This window comes from Homo sapiens, chromosome 8 (genome assembly GCF_000001405.40).
Source record: "Homo sapiens chromosome 8, GRCh38.p14 Primary Assembly".
Taxonomy (NCBI): domain Eukaryota; kingdom Metazoa; phylum Chordata; class Mammalia; order Primates; family Hominidae; genus Homo; species Homo sapiens.
The window spans coordinates 17944034-17966484 of NC_000008.11; the positions used below are offsets into that span (position 1 = coordinate 17944034).

The window sequence follows — 22451 nt, forward strand, 5'->3', positions numbered from 1 at the left end:
CTTCTACGAGTAGCCATGCGTTCATTGTTTTCCTATACTCATGGCCCCCAACTTAATCTCACCTCTTAAAATTTATAAGCTTTCTTTGTACCTTGTACCTGTGTTTTGCCATTATTTTCATCATTGCTAGTTATTTCGTGTGAGATTGCCCTGTCTTTTAAACCAGCTATGGTTCTTCAGACATGATGTCTTATACTTCTGTATTTAGAACCCAGCACATAATTTGGAGCAGATAGTATGACGTAAAGAAGACTAGAGCCTAAGAACCTGATTTCCCTTAACTGTGACACTGGATAAGTCACAACTTTATCTTCTCTAGGCTTATAGTTCCTCAACCTTCACATGAAGAAATTGAAGTACATAATTATCTGAAGCTGTCAAAATACATTAGGATCCATTAATAATTACTAGGAGAACCTCAGTTGAGTAGAGGAAAGGAAGATTGAGGGTTCTCTGAAATTGGACTACTACATATTTACAACTCAGGGTTTGATGCCTAAGTTATTTTTTTAATCTGTAAACTAAAAATATAGTTGGTGAAAGTGACTTTTTCAAAAAAAGTTTAAAGAAAAATATGTGTTTGAAGAATTAATATACACCTAGCATCCTTTTTGGATTTCTATTCCAGGTGCCATCTTCCTGGTATGTTATTACTCCTACCTAGATATTTTTATTTTCTCCCTTCTGTATATTTCATCATAGGCTGTACTCCCATCTTTTGGCTCAGTTTTTTTGAGCATCAGTCTGAAATGTTGTTTATATGAATGTGAAAGTTATTAAGTAGTAATATTTCACTAATTTTGAAAATTGAGAATTCATTTTTAGATTAGTGAGAAATCTGAAGATAATTGTGTTTAATAGCTTAGAATTCTTTATGATTAGGTTATCACAGTTTTGTGACTAATAAGGATTAAAGAACTTTTTAGAAAGTACGCTTTTTTCTCATTTGCATATTTTTTTCTCCTAATTATAATTTATGCTTTGCTAGAGGAGTATTTGATCAACCTAGAGAGATTTTGTTTTACCCCTTCCATTGATATCTGTACCTATTTGATTTGGTTTTACATTTTACCGTTGACTTTGATGAAATCATTATAAAATTATTTTTGCTGCATTCTGAGAGGGCTAGCTATTGATAATTATCCCTACCCTTCAAAGTTGTTTTTTTCCTAATGATGTAAACTGTCTGGAAATAAGCCAGACTAGGATGAATTTCCACGGAAATGGATGTAAATATTTACAAGGTAACTCCCCTTATATAGGATAGGAGAGAACTGAGTAAACAGTACTTAATTTGTTAAAAGTTTCAGTTTATTAGAGGTTCAAGACAACAGAAAAACCTCTAATAAATATTGGCTTACCAAGATCCAGGTAGGCTATTTGTTTCCCATGCTCATGAAGTCTAGAGATAGTCTAGGATAGAGAGGCACTGACTAGGCACCTCTGATGTTTACATGAAATAATCTAATTATAGCCAACTTCCTATTTGATCATAACTTTCTTGAATATTTAACTCTTTGCCATGTACTTATTTGTTTACTTATTAATTTTATGGATTTCCAAGTCACAGTGTAAAATATTACCACAGTTACTCATGCTCATTCACAATACTGATGAGTTCTACTTGGGGAGGTAAAGAAATTTTTATATAGTATTGTAAAGGATGTCACCCAGAAGGGAGTTTCTCTTGAGCCCATCTGCATGCTCCATAATTTCTCTGGGAATCAAATGTACATAGCAAGTGTAGATCAGTGCATTTTTACTTTCAAAAGAAATCTTTGAACTTCTTTGCTCTCTTTAGTCATTTATTTGAAATTTACATAACCCGACAAAAATTTGTTAGCAGTACAAATTTAAAATTGACTAAGTGAAACAAAAGTGAAATATTTTATGTAAATATTAGGTAAAATCGTTCAACTTTTAAAATAAAAGACTTTTTAAAAGGTAAATCGGTGATGAAAAATACAATTACGGTATACGTTTCGATGTATAATTTAGCTTGTAATATATTGTTTCCAGGTTGTATTTAAATTTGTCTCTGCTTTGCTTTTCCATTTTCTTGTTGGATTACATTTTGAATAGTTTTAAGATTAACACTTAAAATTTCATCATTTTTTGTAAGTGCCACTTATTTAATCCATCCCTCTACTTTTAGACTAGATGATAACCTCCTAGCATTTTCGGGGAATTTGGAAGTAGTTACTTCCATTTTATGTCATCAGACTCAGATGAATGAGCATAATTTAAGAGGAAAATAATGATGCCTTTGATGACGAATATAAAATTCGTTATTTTCTTAGATGTCTGATAATATGATGTGATTAAATGAAAATCTTTTTACATAAGATTATCAAATAAAAAATGTATTTTTAAAATTTCAGTCCTTTGTTAGAAATAGTAGGTGTGCCTACTTTCTAGGTTTTGTTGTTGTTTTTAAATATTACTTCTAGTCTTTTTTTTTTCCTTTTTTCTTTTTTCTTTGAGACGGGGTCTCGCTCTGTCACCCAGGCTGGAGTGCAATGGTGCAGTCTCAGCTCACTGCAATCTCTACCTCCTGAGTTCAAGCGATTCTCTTGCCTCAGCCTCCTGAGTAGCTGGGATAACAGGCGCACACCGCCACACCCGGCTAATTTTTGTATTTTTAGTAGAGATGGGGTTTCATATGTTGGTCAGGCTGGTCTCAAACTCCTGACCTTGTGATCTGCCCACCTCGGCCTCCCGAAGTGCTAGGATTACAAGACTTTCAGGTCATTAACCCAGTATAATGTGCTCCTTTTCTGTAGGGGCCTAGATTCTTCAGTGTGTGTGTGTGTGTGTGTGTGTGTGTGTGTGTGTGTGTCCATGTGTCCGTGTCCCTCTTGGCCTTTTATGTTTTGTATATCTTTTTCTTTTCCTTTTGTTCATTCCTCTTCCTGCTGAGCCATTGATTATGTAGCTTTTTACTGTGAAATTACCTCTTAAGTGGCAGGCTATATATATATCTCTGTGTCATCATTCTGTTCTTACTCTTTTTTCTTGATGTCTACTAAAACTATATTTAGGGTTGTATATTTAATAATTTGTTATCAATGTGTATACTTTGCCATTGATAATTGAAACCGCAACATGGATTTTAATAGTCAGATACAAGTATTGTTGGTCTTATTTTCCAGGCCAGAGATCCTCAGCAGGAGCCTATGGAAGAGATAGAAAATTTGAAGAAACAACATGATTTATTAAAAAGAATGTTACAACAGCAGGAGCAACTAAGAGCTCTACAGGGACGGCAGGCTGCACTTCTAGCTCTGCAACATAAAGCAGAGCAAGCTATTGCAGTGATGGATGATTCTGGTATGTCACAGTCTGAGAATATTCTTTTTGTAAGGAAGACTCATACATAATTGTATTGCAGGGTGGATGCTGATTATTACATAATCAGATCTTGATTGTTGTCTAGTTTAGAAACCTTCATATGAGGCTTATACTTTCCTGTGCTTTTCTCTGGTTATGCAGAAAAGGTTGCAGGGACAACTGGCCATCATACTATACCATGCAGATAGCCAGATCTCTCTCCTTTTCATCAGAGAGTACCCTTAAGAGGTAAAAGAGACAGGCTGTAGTTCTGTTTTTGTACCTCAGACTGATAAGGCTCATGATGCGTTTATTTCCTTTTTTTCTATTTTATTCAGCTAGGATTGTCATTCTTTGCTTGCCTCCCAAGAAAGGGTTAAAACCTTAAGTGAGGCAGTGAGTAAATTTATAAAGTGTCTTTAACCTTCAAGGTTAGTAGTAGCTAGTAGCTGTTATTTTAATTAGGTATCCTTTTGTATATGCTAGCTCCTTGGAACTATATTTATAGTGTATACATTCTTCGTAAGACTCAGAAATTTTCTTCCTCCTTTCCTCATAGCCATGTGTGAATTAGATGAAAGTTGTGTTGAATTTCTTAGTATTGAGTCTAATTTTGTACGTTTATCATCACCTTCAAACTTATTTTAGTTTCTCGTTAAATTGCAAAAAAAGATGATTAGTTATTAAAAGTCAACAAAACTAAGTTATGTTTTCTAATAGTCTATCCCCCACTGTCTGCTTTTAGTAATAATTTCTCTTCTTTGAGCGCTTTGTTTTTGCGAGTGAGTTAGGTTCTCACTGAGGCTACCCTGTTGTGAATCAGTTTATTCTGCTGTCCAAACCTAGCCCACTGGCTCACCTGTCTAATCCCTGTTATACCTAATTTAAGTTTGCATTTTCACAAGGAACGTTATGACTTTCAAATAACCTCTTTTTTTTTTTTTTTTTTTTTTTTTTTGGAGACAGAGTTTTGCTCTGTTGCCCAGGCTGGAGTGCAATGGCATGTTCTCGGCTCACTGCAACCTCTGCCTCCCAGGTTCAAGTGATTCTCCTGCCTCAGCCTCCTGAGTAGCTGGGATTACAGGTGCGCACCACCATGCCTGGCTAATTTTTGTATTTTTAGTAGAGTCGGGGTTTCACCATATTGGTCAGGCTGGTCTTGAACTCCTGACCTTGTGATCTGCCCGCCTTGGCCTCCCAAAGTGCTGGGATTACAGGCGTCAGCCACCGTGCCTGGTCAATAACTTACTCTTTTGTAGTAATGATATAGCTGTATAGAGTACTGTATACAGTAATAATTACAAAGATTTTTGTCCCCATTTCTCCATTGTAAAATTTAAAGTACCATTAGCTTTTATATTTAGGAAACAGATAATTTAGGAAAAGATAATTAAAATGCTTTAACATAATGACTAGTACTAGTTTGGTTAATGACTAACCTTTTAAATATTTTTCGAGTTTGGAATATCAGATTTAAAAGCTTTCCTTTGGTAGTTAATATTAATCTCTAAACTTGCATAATCTCCTTTGATCATCAGAGATTTCTAGGTTAGTCAGAGCTTTAATTCTTATTTCTGTTTTATAGAGAAGGAACTCTACAGAGTTTGTGGCTTGCCTAGATTTATATAGAATTTTAGCAGAATTACATTTCTTGAATTGTAGGTCAGGGGTCTTGTTTCTTTTTCTGAATATGAACTTTTGAAAGTAAGCAGATAATTTCTTTTTAAAAAATACTATTATGAGTCAGAGAATAGGAGTATAATGCACATGAGTTTGAACTTCATACTATTTCAAAAAGAATTTTAGCTTAGTAATTTTAAAACAAATTTAGTCTTGTATTTATGAGATTTTGCAGGGGCATGCTAATGAAAAGCCATGGAAAGCTACAATTACAGTATTTAATCTAGTATATGAGACATTATCTTGGGATAATTATGTTACCTCAAAGAGTGTCCCTTTCACCATTTAACTAACAAGTTACATATAATTACTGTAATTTCTTTCTTCTCAGCATAGAGTTTTGACTAGACATATAGGATTCTATATAGCCTTGAAATTCTCAGTTCTCAGTGGAAAAAAGGTAGTGTTTTCCTTTAAAACAGAAGCAATTTATAACTAATTGTCTTTTTTCTTTATCTTTTTTTTTTTTTTGAGACAGGATCTTGCTCTGTCACCCAGGCTGGAATACAGTGGGCGTGATCTTGGCTCACTGCAGCCTCTGCCTCGCAGGTTCAAGTGATTCTCTCACCCCAGCCTCCTGAATAGCTAGGAATACAGGCGTGCTGTACCACGCCGGGCTAATTTTTGTAGTTTTGTAGAGATGGGGTCTCACTGTGGTGCCCAGGCTGGTCTTGAACTCCTGCGCTCAAGTGATCTGCCCACCTTGGCCTTCCAAAGTGTTGGAATTACAGGTGTGAGACACTGTACCTGGCCACCAATGTCTGTTTTAGAGTTGGAGAGTTAGAAGTCAGGTTAAGGATGGAGTTATTTGTTAGTAGAACAGTGACTATCATGAAAATTGTTGTCACAAAACTGCTTTATGAATATGGGGGCATTTTTTTTAAATTAAGAAGATAAAAACCACAGTCTTTTAGTATGACTTGTATCACAAACAGCCACTTCAATAAATTATCCATTTTACTGCAGGGGTCAGCAAACTATGGTCAGCTGAGTTTGGCTCATTGCCTGAAATAAAGTTTTAGGGAACACAGCCATGCCCTTTTGTTTACATTGTCTGTGGTTGCTTTTACCTTGTAAAAGCAGAGTTGGGTGGTCGAGACAAAAACTGTATTTCCCACAAAGTTTAACATATTTACTATTTCAACCTTTAAGCAAAGTTTGCCAGCCCCTCTACCGGAGAATTGATTCTATTCAAGAACATGGAGATTGAAACCTGTCAGAATCAGCTGTGCTTTTTTACACTATCACTTTCCCTTTCACTCCTCACTGATCTTAGACCTGCTCCACTGAGTCACTACTATTAATTGGAATGTAATAGTAACCCTCCTTGTATGTTGGGACAGGAAAAGATGAACCACTTTACCAGAGTTTTGTGAGCATCCCTTTATTTTTAAGTTAGGTGGTAACTTCTAATAAAATGATTGTTGGCAGATAGATCGGATTGTTAACTAGTTTCAAGTTACGTATGTGAGCTTTTTAAATTCTTTTTTTAAATTTATTTTTAGCTTCTCAGAGATTAAAAAAGGTGTTTGATTATTTACATTAATCAGTAGTTACTAATTTCTTTCCAGTTGTTGCAGAAACTGCAGGTAGCTTATCTGGCGTCAGTATCACATCTGAACTAAATGAAGAATTGAATGACTTAATTCAGCGTTTTCATAATCAGCTTCGTGATTCTCAGGTAACCTAGATGTTTTAGTATAGTTGAGTTTAAAAAATCACATTAATTAGAACAGTGATTCAGAAACTTCAGTGAGCATACATATCACCTGGCATGATTGTTGAGCAGTGTAGGTTTCTGATTGGTGGGGTCCCCCCCACCTTCAAAATTACGATTCATGGATTTGGGGTGGGCTTCTCCACGTCTCAGTCCAATGCTGGTGGCCTGGGGACTATACTTTAAGAATCACTAAATTAGAGGAGAGTTTACTTTGAAGGAAGTGATTAATGAAGTTTTTCTTTGTATGCTACTGGATGACGTATTCTTTTTTCCTCTAAAAGACTTAATGGTCACAACGATTAAGACTTTGCTTTAAATCTGTGTCCTTCGACTAGATACATGGGATTCTATACAGCCTTGGAATTCTCATTTGAAGGAATATTTTACTAACAATTTTAAGAAAGTTCTTAATTTGAGAGTTAGCAAGTGTTATAATTTGATGCACTTTGTAAGTGATATAAATGCAGATTTTCAATATGGGGGCCTTGGGTAAGAAAGGATGAATTAATGCCTCTCCATTGGAAGTGAGTATGATTGAAGATGCAGTGTCTCTTGTCTTCTTGCTGACCAAGTGAAAATGAGAGAATATGGCCCAACCACTTTGGAGAGTTATATAGCAGTACCTAGTAAATTTCTTCTGGTAGACCTGGGGCCTACTTTAGAGAAACTCTCACATGTTCAGAAGGAGGTAGATGGAAGAATATTCATGGCAACTCTGTGTTAATAGCAAATAACCAGAAACAGCCCAAATGTCCATCAACAGAAATGGGCTAATGAATTCTTACATAGAGTGAAATTCTTTATAGCAGTTACAGTAAATAAGCCATTGCTAATGAATACAAAATTCAAGTTTAAGAAGGATCCCACTTACCTTATTTTAAAAAAAGTCTACATTTTTAATGTATGTATACATAGGCATTAGAAAATAAAAACATGTAGAGAATGGTAGATGCCTGATTCCAGGTTGGGGTTACCTTTGGAGTGGGTAATGACATTGGAAAGGGTACAAACAGAGCTTTAGTTAAATCTGTAATGTTATATTTTTCTTAAAATAATTGATGCAAATATGGGAAAATCTTAAAATTTGACTAAGCATAATGGGAGATATTCATTATATGATTTCCTAAGCCCTAGTGGATTCTTGCAAAGTTTCATAATTAAAAAAAATTTAAAAAAAGGCCAGGTGCGGTGGCTTATGCCTGTAATCCCAGCACTTTGGGAGGCCGAGGCGGGTGGATCACTTGAGGTCAGGTGTTTGAGACCAGCCTGGCCAACATGGTGAAACCCTGTCTCAACTAAAAATGCAAAAATGAGCCAGGTGTGGAGGCATGCACCTGTAATCTCAGCTGCTTGAGAGGCTGAGGCAGGAGAATCGCTTGAACCCAGGAGGCGGAGGTTTCAGTGAGTTGAGATCACGCCACTGCACTCTAGCCTGGGCCACAGAGTGAGACTTTGTCTCAAAAATAAATAAATAAATAAATAAATAAATAAAAAATAAAGGAACATGAGAGAGAAGTGGTGGGAAAAATTGATAGGTTAAGAAGTTAAAGTTTACAGTGGTAGTTCTAGAAAGAAGGCAAGAGAGAGAATGAGATTTTTGAAGGTTTATTTTATGTAACGTGGCATTGTTATTACTTTTGATTCAATTACTGATGTCTAGTGAATCCAAGACCTCTGTGTGGTCATGTGTCTCTAAAACTATGTAGAGTCAGCTCTCAGTATCTGTGGGTTCCACATCCATGGATTCAACCAACCATGGATCAGGAATATTTTGGGGGGAGAAATAACACAACAATTTTTAAAATGCAAATTTAAAAATATAACAGCTATTTACATAGTGTTTATATTGTATTAGGTATTATAAGTAGTCTAGAGCTGATCTGAAGTATATAGGAGGATGTGTGTAGATTATGTGCAGATACTACACCATTTTATATAAGGGATTTGGGTATCTGTTGTTTTTGGTGTCCCCAGGGGTCCTTGAACCAATCCCTCATGGATACTGAGGGATGACTTCATATGTTAATAGTGGCATATCAGGAAACCGTATTTAATTTGGGAATAGTAAGGGTATATACTTACCTACCAGCACAGCCTAGCAAATATTTCTTTCTCTTTATAAAGAATATTTATGCATTTAAAAAATGAGAATGCATTTAATTGCGTTAGTCTTAATTCTTCTTTTTTGTTGTTTTTTTTTAATAAGCCTCCAGCTGTTCCAGACAATAGAAGACAGGCAGAAAGTCTTTCATTAACTAGGGAGGTTTCCCAGAGCAGGAAACCATCAGCTTCAGAACGTTTACCTGATGAGAAAGTCGAACTTTTTAGCAAAATGAGAGTGCTACAGGAAAAGAAACAAAAAATGGACAAATTGCTTGGAGAACTTCATACACTTCGAGATCAGCATCTTAACAATTCATCATGTGAGTAAATCTGGTTCAGCAGTATTGGGTATAAGACACACAAGTATATATACTGTCACATAATAAATTTAGTATTTGGTGAATGAACACATAGCTCCTCAAAAATATTTGTAGGGACTTAAGACTTGCATATGAAAAGTTTCTAAGTTGCAAGCCAATATATATGAAAGCCAAATAGGTGATAAATCAGTTTTATAATTCAGAAAAGGGAAAGAATAAAGTTGGACCTTGAAAAATTAGTAGGATTTTAATAAGGGAAAGGTAGAAGAGAAGGCAACTGTTTGATACGTGGACATATTAATACTTTGTTTCTTAACATTCAAAATTTTCCCTTAAAGAAAAGTTAATCCAGTTAGTACTTTGATTTAAAAACCCAAAACTGTGAAACATAGTGTGTATTAAAAAAAACAAAAAACAAAACTATGAAAAACTTTTATATATGGTTTAGTCTAGAGAGCCCAGAACTTCCAACTGCTGGATTTATATTCATTTTTAAAAAATATATAAATAATCATCTCAAGCAGGTATAACTGCGGGAGTTATCTTTTTTGCTCCACACGTGTTTAACCTTCTTTGTCTAAATCAGATCTAGTCTTCAGTTCCTATCCTAATACCTTTTCAAACATGGCCCCTGTCTCATATCCAAATAGTAATAGAGGCTCAAGCATTAGAAATTGAAGTCAGTAGGGACAACTTCCAACTAGTCTTTAAACATTCTAGCTGCTGTCTAATTAAAGAAAAGATGAGGGATTTAAAAATAACAAAACCATTGTCTCTGGAGCCTCTGGTCCTTATTCTCCACCTATCTCCTTTTCCTTTTCCACCCACAAAAGAACCTTAATATTCCTGTCCTAAAACATACTCCTTTCTTTTCTCTGACTTCTGCTAGTCTCTTTCTCCTCTAGAGTATAATCCCAGTTTTTATCCTTTACAAACACATGAATACAACTAAGATGTGTGGCTGGGTGTGGTGGCTCACGCCTGTAATCCCAGCACCTTGGGAGGCTGAGGCGGGTGGATCACCTGAGGTCGGGAGTTCGAGACCAGCCTGACCAACATGGAGAAACCCCGTCTCTACTAAAAGTACAAAAGTAGCCAGGTGTGGTGGTACATGCCTGTAATCTCAGCTACTCCGGAGGCTGAGGTAGGAGAATCGCTTGAATCTGGGAGGCGGAGGTTGTGGTGAGCCAAGATCGTGCCATTGCACTCCAGCCTGGGCAACAAAAGTGAAACTCCATCTCAAAAAAAAAAAAAAAGAAAAGAAAAAAACAACTTAACATGTGAAAGTTGCGCTTAAGTCCTTGTCGTCAGTTTTGTATGCATAAAGTAGCACTCCGTATACTGATGACTCTTAAAGCCTATTTTTTTCCTCACTGGGAAGCAGTGTGAGAGCAGCAGCAAAAGGTAGACTCGTCAAGGAATAGAATGAGGAGACTGCTGGAAACCACCTACAGGAATTGTGGTACTAAAGTGAGCAACAAATAATGATGGTTCCTTTGAGAAAGATACTGGTAAATGACAGCACCTTTGAAATGGTAGGAGGTAGAGAAGTGCAAAGATTCTTAATCTTTAATTCCTCTTGAAAGCATGATTTATATTTGATAGTAACAGAAGTTAAATAGAAAGTAATTAAATTTAGTTCAAGGACCATAGAGGATTAGCCATTATCTAAATAGCAGGTTTTTATTGCTGTTTAATATTTCATGGTTTGAGGTACCACAGTCACTTTTAACACTTTTCTTTCTCTCCTGGAGCAAGAAAAGTTCCTTCTTGGTGTCCAGATGTGACATCCCCCTGATCTGTGGGTATGAAAAACTGATGAAGACCTAATCAGCTACAGCTACCCTGTAAAGATTACAGATTGAGTACTGCACATGATTCATAGTGGCCCTGTTTAACTTAACCTAGAACCAAGTTTATCAAGTTAGTTACCAAGTTTACTCGTTAGTTAAAACTAACTAGAGTACTTCTCTAGTTAGTTTTCCAAGGTAGAATATCATTATTCTTGTCAATTTCCATCTTTTTTCTTTCCTTTCTGTTTTAACCCAGTGGTTATATTGTAAAGGTGATAGAACCTGTGGAAGAAAGAGGTAAACAAGTCTTTGTACATTTTGATGTGTTTAATTGTGGAGTAAGTTAATAAACAATTTTCTGAAATTTAAATCTGCAGAAATTAAGTTGTTAATTTTTACTTTTTAGTTTTCAATATCCAAGCCAACTGTATGTGTTTGTTTATGGTAACTGGTGATTAAAAAAAATTTTTTGTTGTTGTGCCTTCTTCAGCCTCTCCACAAAGGAGTGTCGATCAGAGAAGTACTTCAGCTCCCTCTGCTTCTGTAGGCTTGGCACCGGTTGTCAATGGAGAATCCAATAGCCTCACATCATCTGTTCCTTATCCTACTGCTTCTCTAGTATCTCAGAATGAGAGTGAAAACGAAGGCCACCTCAATCCATCTGAAAAACTCCAGTAAAACATTTATAATCATTGTTTACATGAAGTTAAATAATAGGGATAAATTCTGTTTTTTTTTTTATGTTGAAAATTCTGCAAAACGAGATTTATTTAATATTGTTGTAAACATTCTTAAGGGATAGGTAGAAGAGGCGTGTGTGTGTTGTGTGGGCATAATTTGAGTTGTCTAAGAGATGTGATGTAACATAGTTTCTGTGAACTGATGTTACTTTCTTGTTTTTCAAATAAAGGATCAAAAATAAGATTACAGTTAAAATATTTCTATATTCAGATGGTTTAGAGACCAGGCTGTAGAATCAGACAGCCCTGAAATTGTATCACACAAGGCTGTGTTACCCTGTACAAATAACTTAGCCTTACTAAGCCTGTATTTCCTCATCTGCAAAATAGGGATGATAATATACCTGTTGATAAATATGTTTTCATTAAAAAACGTTGGCGCAGTTCCTGGCACTTACAGTAAGAACTCAGCTAACTTAATTTTTATTTTTGGTAAACGTAGTATGTAGTGTATAGATCTCATATGTGCAGACAAATCAAGAACCTTCCATACATGCTCAGTAATGTCTGTATACCTGATTTTCCTGAGAGGTAGTATTTAGTAGTACTTCACACTTTTGATACTTGAGAAACTAGAAATCTTTTTGACATCAGGTTTTCTGCTATTAACATTTACACCTGCTTAAAATGAACAATTAAATTGAAATTGGTTTTCTTACACTTTTGTCCCTAAAACAGCATAAGAAAATAATGTGAGATTTTGAGTAAGCTGTACTTGGCATTAACCTCATTATTTTACAGTCATACCCCCTGGAGAGTTCACTAGGTGGATATTCCATTAGGTCTAAATTTTGTTTCTGTTAGCTGCTATGATATGAAAATAATGTCTGTATTATTTTGCTAAAATGGGTGTAAATCGTATACATAAATTTTTTGTTTATCAGGAAGTTAAATGAAGTTCGAAAGAGATTGAATGAGCTAAGAGAATTAGTTCATTATTATGAACAAACGTCAGACATGATGACAGATGCTGTGAATGAAAACAGGAAAGATGAAGAAACTGAAGAGTCAGAATATGATTCTGAGCATGAAAATTCCGAGCCTGTTACTAACATTCGGTAAGAACTTTTCTGGGGATGTTTTTCCAGCATATTCATTCTGTCTTGATACTTATAATGTGGGAACAAAAATACTTCGTTGTAGTATTTACTATTTGCCTTTTATTTAAGCTTTCTACTATTTTGGTCAGTGTAATCATCTCTGCCCTGTGAAGAAAGATGAATAGGGAAGTATGGAGTACAATAGTTCAGTAAATTTGCCCTTTGTTAGACTGAATTCGAGTAAATCATGAGATGTATCTAACTTAGCATTTTGCTGTCTTTTTCTTTTTAGGCGTAATTTTCATTTTTTCAGATGTTTTTCTACTTAAATAGCACATATGCAGAAGTTAATGAAAAGCAGGAGTCGATTATTCAATTTGAATTTAAATGGAATAGCCAACAATGTGCTTGGTTTGGTGTTATTTTATTAGCAGTTCTAAACTTGGATTTCTTTCTCTCTTTTTTTGTGCCTTAAATGACTTCAGGCTGTTTTCTTTCTTCTAGAAATCCACAAGTAGCTTCCACTTGGAATGAAGTAAATAGTCATAGTAATGCACAGTGTGTTTCTAATAATAGAGATGGGCGAACAGTTAATTCTAATTGTGAAATTAACAACAGATCTGCTGCCAACATAAGGGCTCTAAACATGCCTCCTTCTTTAGGTATGACTGACTGTATTTACATATAATTTTGCTGTGTTATTCTTACAAAGTGGGTTTTCGTTCATGTGTGCTCTTTCCTTTAAAAGTTACTGGTTTTAATTATACATGTTTTCAGCAGATTGTCGATATAATAGAGAAGGGGAACAGGAGATTCATGTTGCACAAGGTGAAGATGATGAGGAGGAGGAGGAAGAAGCAGAAGAGGAGGGAGTCAGTGGAGCTTCATTATCTAGTCACAGGAGCAGTCTGGTTGATGAGCATCCAGAAGATGCTGAATTTGAACAGAAGATCAACCGACTTATGGCTGCAAAACAGAAACTTAGACAGTTACAAGATCTTGTTGCTATGGTACAGGTAAATATTGCTTGGTCTTTTAAAAACCTATTTGTCAAATAGTACAGTCTTAAGTAAAATTTGTGTATGATAATTACTTTGGTTTAATTATACTAATACACATTTATGTATCATATGTGAGGTTTAAATTTTTAGCACTTTACATGCTGTATGTCAGAGGTCAGCAACCTTTTTAAATTAAGAGTGAGTTGGTTAGATAGTTGCGGCTTTGTGGCGATATAGTATCTGTCACAATTTCACAATGCAAAAGCAGCCATACATAATACATAAATGAGAATGATTATTTGCCAATATAGCTTTATTTTATTATAAACAATATAGCTGTTTTTATTTACAAAAACAGAAGAGGTTTTGTTGTTTTTGTTGTTTTGCTGACAACTCTGGCCTTATATTATGTACAACTTGCAGCATCTCAATGAGGTAGACATTAAATAGGTTAAAGAGATCTTAATTGCCGAAGTTTATATGACTGTCCAATCCAGAATTCAGACTTCCTGATACCAGAGCCTGCGATCTTAACCTACTGTATATAAAAGAAAAACCATATGTTATCTTATTCAGTAAGGTTAAAGTTAGAACTATTAATCATAAATTTTAAAAAGCAGTTTATACATATTTTGTATTATAGTTACACAATTAACTATAATGTACAATTGTATATTTATACAAATGTAAAAATATACAATTATAGTTACATAACTATTAACACAAAATATGCCTACACTTATAATTGTATAAATATGTAATTAACTATAATTGTATTACCGTGTAACTATTAACACATTTATAAAGGTGTTGTGTATATATATATAAAAATCATATAAAATGGTTTTTGTGAGTGAAAAACCTCAAGTTTTATTAACAGTTTCTTTTGAAATGCTATGTACTTTGAATTACTCAAGTAAAAGGTGAGCGTGCTCTCTCGGTTCAAAAAAAGTACGTATTTGTATTTATTTATTTTTTGGGGACAAGGTCTTGCTCTGTCACCCAGGTTGGAGTGCAGTGGCATGATTTTGGCTCACTGCAAGCTCCATCTCCCGGGTTCAAGCGATTCTTCTGCCTCAGCCTCCCGAGTAGCTGGAATTACAGATGTGTACCACCACACCTGGCTAATGTTTGTATTTTTAGTACAGATGGGGTTTCACCATATTGGCCAGGCTGGTCTTGAACTCCTGGCCTCAGGCAGTTCACCCACCTTGGCTTCCCAAAGTGCTCAGATTGCAGGCACAAAAAGTACATATTACTAATAAACTCTGTCTTTACCTCCATTAATAATCCTATTCTTCTTCACTGAAGTTGCTAGGCCTTTTCTCTGCAGTTAGGTACATCACTATGCACCTATTTTTAAAAAAATACATGACGTTTTGTGGTATGTTTCTTTGTTTTTACAAACTGTATATATAATACACTAAGTATTATTTTATAGCTTTCCTTTTTTCCCCACTCCACATTGTCTCAGAGAACTTTCATGTCAGTATAGTTCTATATAATTATAAGTAATTAAGAAACACAAATATGATAATTATAAAATATAAATAATACTGCATATATATATATACACACAGTACATAGTTATTTGTAGCTGCAGTACAGTTTTCAGTATATCGATGGACTTTAGTTAATGTATAATAGCATCCAGTTACTATATACTTGTTTTCAATCTTTCGCTATTTAGAAACAATGCACCAAAGAATATACTTGCACAAGCTTTTGTGCATTTGTGTTTTTTAAGAAGGATTTGGAGAAGTGGAACTACTATGTCAGTTGGTGTACATTTTAAAGGACACAACTTAATTGGTCTCTAGAGAGCAATTTTCTATATGTATTTCCGTATGTATTTATATTTCTATATGTATAGAATTTTTGATATGTATTCATATTTTTCTATATGTATTTTTTATATTTTAAGCAGTGGTATGTGAGAGTTCGTTTCTCCACACCCTTGATTGTGTTTTATTTTATTGATATACCGTAGCTTGTTTAACCATTACTGGAATTGGCCTTTTCCAAATTTCCCAATTATAAGAAGAGTTATTGAGGTGAGATAAACATGTATGCAAATACAAACGTGTGTAAACAAATATATATTGAACACGTGTACACATGTATACAAACGTGCTTTCTTTACTGCTTTAATCTTTTTATGTAAATTTTACAGACTAGTGGTATTTACTAAGGTATGAATTGGATAATGTCTTGAGGTATCAAGATTGTTTTAATGTAATGATGCTCTTTCAGGATGATGATGCAGCTCAAGGAGTTATCTCTGCCAGTGCATCAAATTTGGATGATTTCTACCCAGCAGAAGAAGACACCAAGCAAAATTCAAATAACACTAGAGGAAATGCCAATAAAACACAGAAAGATACTGGAGTAAATGAAAAGGCAAGGTATGTTAAGCTTTTGGCCTTCATTTAATATAATAAAAATTTAGTGCCTGTTTTGGAGAAGGTGCTCAGCTAGGTACTGTGTTATGTTGTGCCTAATGCTTCATCACATTTTATTGGAGTCCATAAATATAATGTCAATTTAATTGTAGAGAGAAATTTTATGAGGCTAAACTACAGCAGCAACAGAGAGAGCTAAAACAATTGCAGGAAGAAAGAAAGAAACTGATTGACATTCAGGAGAAAATTCAAGCATTGCAAACGGCATGCCCTGACTTACAGGTAATTATGAAATTTATTTCTAATTGTCTGAAAAAAGATGTTTAAAACCTTAGGTCAACTGAAAGTACTCTTTTTTGTTTTTGTTTTTCTTTTTTTTTGAGGCAGAGTCTCACTCTGTTGCCCAGGCTGAAGTGCAGTGGCGTGATCTTGGCTCACTGCAAGCTCTGCCTCTTAGGTTCACGCCATTCTTCTGCCTCAGCCTCCTGAGTAGCTGGGACTTCAGGCACCCGCCACCATGCCTGGCTAATTTTTTGTATTTTTGGTAGAGACAGGGTTTCACAGTGTTAGCCAGGATGGTTTCGATCTCCTGACCTCGTGATTCGCCCGTCTCAGCCTCCCAAAGTGCTGGGATTACAGGCGCGAGAAACTACTCTTTTTTTTCTAGTATTAAGGTGACAGAATTATATCTAGTAATTTTGTGATTAATGAAGTGGATGAACTAATGAAGAGTTGGGGTTATACGTTTACAGTGTAAAAGACAGCACATAGGAATTGACTCATTATTTTCATTCTTACTGGGCTGGCTGGCCATAGATTCAGAACATGTGTACTCATAACTGTTTATTATGTTAAAATATTCTGATTTGACTTTTGCAGTTATGGACCAGCATTTCCATCTTTTACTGGCCTGAAATAATATAATAAAATCTTTAAGCCACCATAAGATATCTAAGGAAAATAACTGTATGTGGTTTAAAGAGTAAGTTGTATATACTTTTGCTTATTAACTAGGATCTTATACATGGGTCTTGAGATTGAACAGAAAATAAGATATCTTTGGTGATATCAAATAATCAGTTAATAATATGGGAAGGGGATAATAATTCCTTCTGATATTTTCCCAGAGTTTATTGGCTAGCTTTTTTTTTTTTTTTTTTTTTTTTGAGACGGAGTCTCGCTCTGTGGCCCAGGTGGGAGTGCAGTGGTGCAATCTCGGCTCACTGCAAGCTCCACCTCCTGGGTTCACGCCATTCTCCTGCCTCAGCCTCCCGAGTAGCTGGGACTACAGGTGCCCGCCACCACGCCCGGCTAATTTTTTTGTATTTTTAGTAGAGACGGGGTTTCACCGTGTTAGCCAAGATGGTCTCAGTCTCCTGCCGTCGTGATCCGCCCGCCTCGGCCTCCTGAAGTGTTGGGATTACAGGCGTGAGCCACCGCTCCCGGCCTATTGGCTAGCTTTATCTTCAGTTAGGTTGTGTTTTCAAAGAAAGGAAAACAGGGCAACTGTGTTCATTTTCTAAACCCTTGCCTTTCCTACTGTATCTAATCCTTTTTCTCTCCTTATCTCCAATCTAAATAATGTCTAGAGAAATATGTTGCAAAGGTGGGTTAAGTATACAAAATTTTCCATTATGTTTTATCCCTGTTGTTTCTGTTGTTTCTGAGGGCTTGTGTTTGTTAACCTCAGCTTGTGTTTTCATCTTTGTTTTCTTATTTCATGTTATCTTCGGATGATGATGGAAGTCAGGGTCTGATAGCAGATTAAATATGGCACTAGAGCCTTAGTGCCATATTTAAAGTAACTGCTTTTATGAAATTAATATAATTGCTTTAATTCCTCATAACGTTTTTTGTGAATTCCTTTTTAGCTGTCAGCTGCTAGTGTGGGTAACTGTCCCACCAAAAAATATATGCCAGCTGTTACTTCAACCCCAACTGTTAATCAACACGAGACCAGTACAAGCAAATCTGTTTTTGAGCCTGAAGATTCTTCAATAGTAGATAATGAGGTATTGTAAATTGTACTCTCTTGTTCCTGAGTTAGTCTTTTGTTTTCCTTTTTTTTTCTTCAATAAGGCACATCTCAAGAAAGGAAACTGAATATCCTTGAAACATGTTTGTAAATAGTAGTCTGCTTTGTGCCTTTTTTAGTAGACACAAAAATGTAATAGATTATAATAATATAAGAAAGATAAAACATTTTAATTTTTAAACTTTAATTGAAAAGTTTTAAATAATTTTTTCTAAAAAGTAATTATCTTTTAAAAATATCCATGTTCTTTGTTAGTAAATATTTGGCAGAAATATATAGGGGGGTAGTTGCAGCAAATAGTAATCATTTCAGTTAGAAAGACCTATCCTTTGACATTTTATTTATATGTGGTTTGTAGAAAATATAATTTTTCCTAAATAATTTCTGAAGTATATTTGAGTTCTACTTGTTTCTATTAATAGGCCATGTGCGGTGACTCACACCTATAATCCCAGCACTTTGGGAGGCTGAGGTGGGCAGATCATGAGGTCAGGTATTCAAGACCAGCCTGGTCAACGTGGTGAAACCCTATCTCTACTAAAAAATACAAAAAAAATTAGCTAGGTGTAGTGGTGGGCGCCTGTAATCCCAGCTACTCAGGAGGCTGAGGCAGGATAATCACTTGAACCTGGGAGGCAGAGGTTGCAGTGAGCCGAGATCACACCACTGCACTCCAGCCCAGATGACAGAGTGAGACTCTGTCTCAAAAAAAAAAAAAAATTGGCTGATTTTTTTGTAATCATAACTATATTATTATTTTAACCTTCATGGACATGTTAGTGTGAAAAGGAGAGAATGAGAATAGAAACCTTTGTTGATACTGACAATACTAGTAGTCTTTTACTCTTTTAGGCTACAGCAAATCCAAATATTTATTTAACTCTGGTTTCTTAAAAAAAATAGTTGTGGTCAGAAATGAGAAGACATGAAATGTTGAGGGAGGAGCTGCGACAGAGAAGAAAGCAGCTTGAAGCTCTGATGGCTGAACATCAGAGGAGGCAAGGTCTAGCTGAAACTGCATCTCCAGTGGCTGTGTCATTGAGAAGTGATGGATCTGAGAACCTATGTACTCCTCAGCAAAGTAGAACAGAAAAGTAAGAGAGCTGCATAAATCACTTTTCTAAAAATGTCACCTGCCGAAGATTGACCTGTAGGCTAGGCAGCCACATTTCTCCTCTACATCACAGCACAAATCTGCTATTTCAGTGAGGCTACTGTTTAACTACCACCTTTGTGACCCAGTTTAATTGAATCCAGCCACTTTCTGTTCTGACTTCTCGTAGCATCAGCTTTCTCTTTTGTCTTAAATTACTATGGCACTTGATCAAATGGTGATACAGATTTTCTTATGTGTATAAGCCTTATTAGTTAAGTTTATAAAAAGAAAATGCTTGATATTTTGTAGTGCTTTTCTGTCAGGCCAGAAATAGGCCCTTTTTTGCTTAAATTGAGTATCTGCTGTTTGTAAGGTTCTTAAGGATCTTAAAACATTTTATTATAATCATTTAGTTTTTAGGATTTCAGTTTAAAATGTCCATATTTAGAATATTTCTAAAAGAGTTGGTCATCTATAAGATCAGTGAATTATTTAGCTATATAGTAGTAACCATATCAAAAATTTTGAAATATAGATTTGTTTATGACCTTCCCTTTTGATATCCTCAGATGGCATTTCTGGAATTTCTGGAGTTTTGCACCAAGCCCTACTCTCTTCTCAGATGAACTTCTATTCTTGGGGTCCCAATATGCATTTTACTGATCAGACTATATCTACAATATTTTATTCTGTTCTGGGTACTACACGTCTGTTCTTCTACAGAGTTCTTCAGATAGTTTTGATGAGCATCTGGTTTCAGAATCATTGGTCTGGATTTTTGCTGTCCAGTATGGCAGCCACTAGATATAGGTGGTTATTTAAATTTCAATCAAATGAAATTAAAAATTTATTTTCTCAGTCATATTAGCTGCATTTTAAGTGCTCAGTAGCCATGTGTACCTAGTGTCTACTGTATTGGATAGCACAGATACAGATGATTGCCGTAATTATAGAAAGTTCTGCTGAACTGCACTGATCTTGAAAACTCCCTCAAGCAAATGTTAAGGGTAGTTTAGCTTTGGGAAGTAGTCCCAGGGGATATGATGATTATTTAAATGTATTTGAAGAATTGTTTTGAGGAAGGCAAACTAAACATATTCTGTATATAACAGCAATAGGGAGAGTGCCACCCGTAGCATAGTTATTGTGATTAAATGAAATTTTATATACAGACATGTATATGTATGTTTGAAACAATGTCTGGCACATAGTAGGTGGCAGAGTATTTAACTTATCTCCAGAATGACATCTGTTTTATGTCTCTTAATCACTAGAACGATGGCAACTTGGGGAGGGTCTACCCAGTGTGCACTAGATGAAGAAGGAGATGAAGACGGTTACCTTTCTGAAGGAATTGTTCGGACAGATGAAGAGGAGGAAGAAGAGCAAGATGCCAGTTCCAATGATAACTTTTCTGTGTGTCCTTCTAACAGTGTGAATCATAACTCCTACAATGGAAAGGAAACTAAAAATAGGTTAGTTTCAGTATTTTAATTTTGTGCTTAATTTAAGAGGCTCAGGTCTTTTTGACTGACAGCAAGCACTTCTGCAGTTCTCCAAGCCAACTGAATGTCCTACAACTCAATTCAATTTTTACACTAACTACTCAGAGTTAGTGCAGACCCCTCAAGTTAAGGGGCTCAGTTCAGTAAGACTGCCCTCACCTCAGACTTCAATTTCAACTGCTTGGTCCCCACGTTACCCACACTTCTGTGCAACATGGCTAGAAATTTGGGAGTTCTTACAATCCCCTTCAGGTTTATTTGCTAGAACAACTCACGAAATACAGGAAAAGACTTACTTACGTTTCCTCATTTCTTATAAAGGATTCTGAACTGCCAAATGGAAGAGGTGTGTTAGGACAGTGTGTGGGTTGGGGAGGTGTGCAGAGCTTCCATGGTTTCCTCTGTGTGTCCCACCCTCCCCAGCACTTTGATGTGTTCAGTGACCCAGAAGCTGCCTGAATTCTGTTTACGGTTTTTTAGGAGATTTCATTGCTTAAGCGCAATTGATAAAATTGTTGACTGTTGGTGATTGTTCTCATTAGCAAAAATTCACATCTGGTTGAAAGGGGCTTGTTACGGATAACAAAAGACATTATCACTTGGGAGATTCCAAGGGTTTTAGGAGCTCTGTGCTAGGAACCAGGCACAAAGAACAGATAGATATTTTATTATACCACAAGAATGTTGTTCCAGTAGATCCAGGTAAACTGGATCAGTCTTCACTCCTGCTGTTGAGAATTAAGCAAAAATAACAAATTGTAGATAGTGAAAAGAGTCTGCCAACAAAGATGTTATTACATTGTTACTAATAATTATAACTGAAAATTTCTTCATGAATAACAGATGGTGAAGTAGATACAGTAGCTCCACTTGATGAAATACTATGTGGTTGAACTTAAAGCGTGAAGAATGGAAAACTACTTGTGACATAATAAATATTTTTATTTTGCAGAATACTTAATTATATGGACACTGCTGTGTAAAAACATACATGAAAAAGACTGGAGACTAATGAAAACTAATAATTGTACAAAGCTAAAGATCTGGACTTCTCCCCCCTCTATATTTTTTAATACTTTGTATGTTCTTTTAATTTAAAACAGAATATTGGCCCATAGGCCTGAGTATCAGAGTTTATTGCTGTATTTTAAAAACCAAATTATTATGTATGATGACTTAATGCTTTCAATCTTGTGTTAGGTGGAAGAACAATTGCCCTTTTTCGGCAGATGAAAATTATCGTCCTTTAGCCAAGACAAGGCAACAGAATATCAGCATGCAACGGCAAGAAAACCTTCGTTGGGTGTCAGAGCTCTCTTACGTAGAAGAGAAAGAACAATGGCAAGAACAAATCAATCAGCTAAAGAAACAGCTTGATTTTAGTGTCAGTATTTGTCAGACTTTGATGCAAGACCAGCAGGTAAAATTTGCTATGAAAGTATATTTTTCGTCTATTTTTATAACTTCTGAAGCAATACAAATTTTTCTCAAGTCATCAGTAACTATTAACAAACATTTTCTTTCAATAGACTCTATCTTGTCTGCTACAAACTCTTCTCACGGGTCCTTACAGTGTTATGCCCAGCAATGTTGCATCTCCTCAAGTACACTTCATAATGCACCAGTTGAACCAGTGCTATACTCAGCTAACATGGCAACAGAATAATGTTCAGAGGTAATCTGTTT

General features: G+C 35.6%; 1 protein-coding gene across 33 annotated transcripts in view; it reads left to right on the forward strand.

Moving 5' to 3' along the window:
• Positions 1–22451, forward strand: part of PCM1 (pericentriolar material 1) — a 106961-nt gene that overhangs the window by 21046 nt on the left and 63464 nt on the right. For 25 of the 33 annotated variants that reach the window (NR_148032.2, NM_001352633.2, NM_001352650.2 and 22 more), the window contains 14 exons: positions 3153–3330; positions 6582–6691; positions 8937–9153; positions 11437–11620; positions 12571–12744; positions 13231–13388; positions 13507–13742; positions 15981–16132; positions 16282–16411; positions 18001–18141; positions 19068–19258; positions 20535–20735; positions 21966–22185; positions 22295–22440. Coding sequence is in view for 32 of the 33 variants with exons in the window: in NM_001352633.2 (NP_001339562.2) it covers positions 3153–3330; positions 6582–6691; positions 8937–9153; positions 11437–11620; positions 12571–12744; positions 13231–13388; positions 13507–13742; positions 15981–16132; positions 16282–16411; positions 18001–18141; positions 19068–19258; positions 20535–20735; positions 21966–22185; positions 22295–22440 (2438 nt within the window). In the remaining variant the exon portion in view is untranslated. Of the gene's footprint in view, positions 1–3152; positions 3331–6581; positions 6692–8936; positions 9154–11436; positions 11869–12570; positions 12745–13230; positions 13389–13503; positions 13743–15980; positions 16133–16281; positions 16412–18000; positions 18142–19067; positions 19259–20534; positions 20736–21965; positions 22186–22294; positions 22441–22451 lie in introns of those variants that run through there. The other 8 variants (NM_001352635.2, NM_001352648.2, NM_001352636.2 and 5 more) reach the window with 2 other exon arrangements.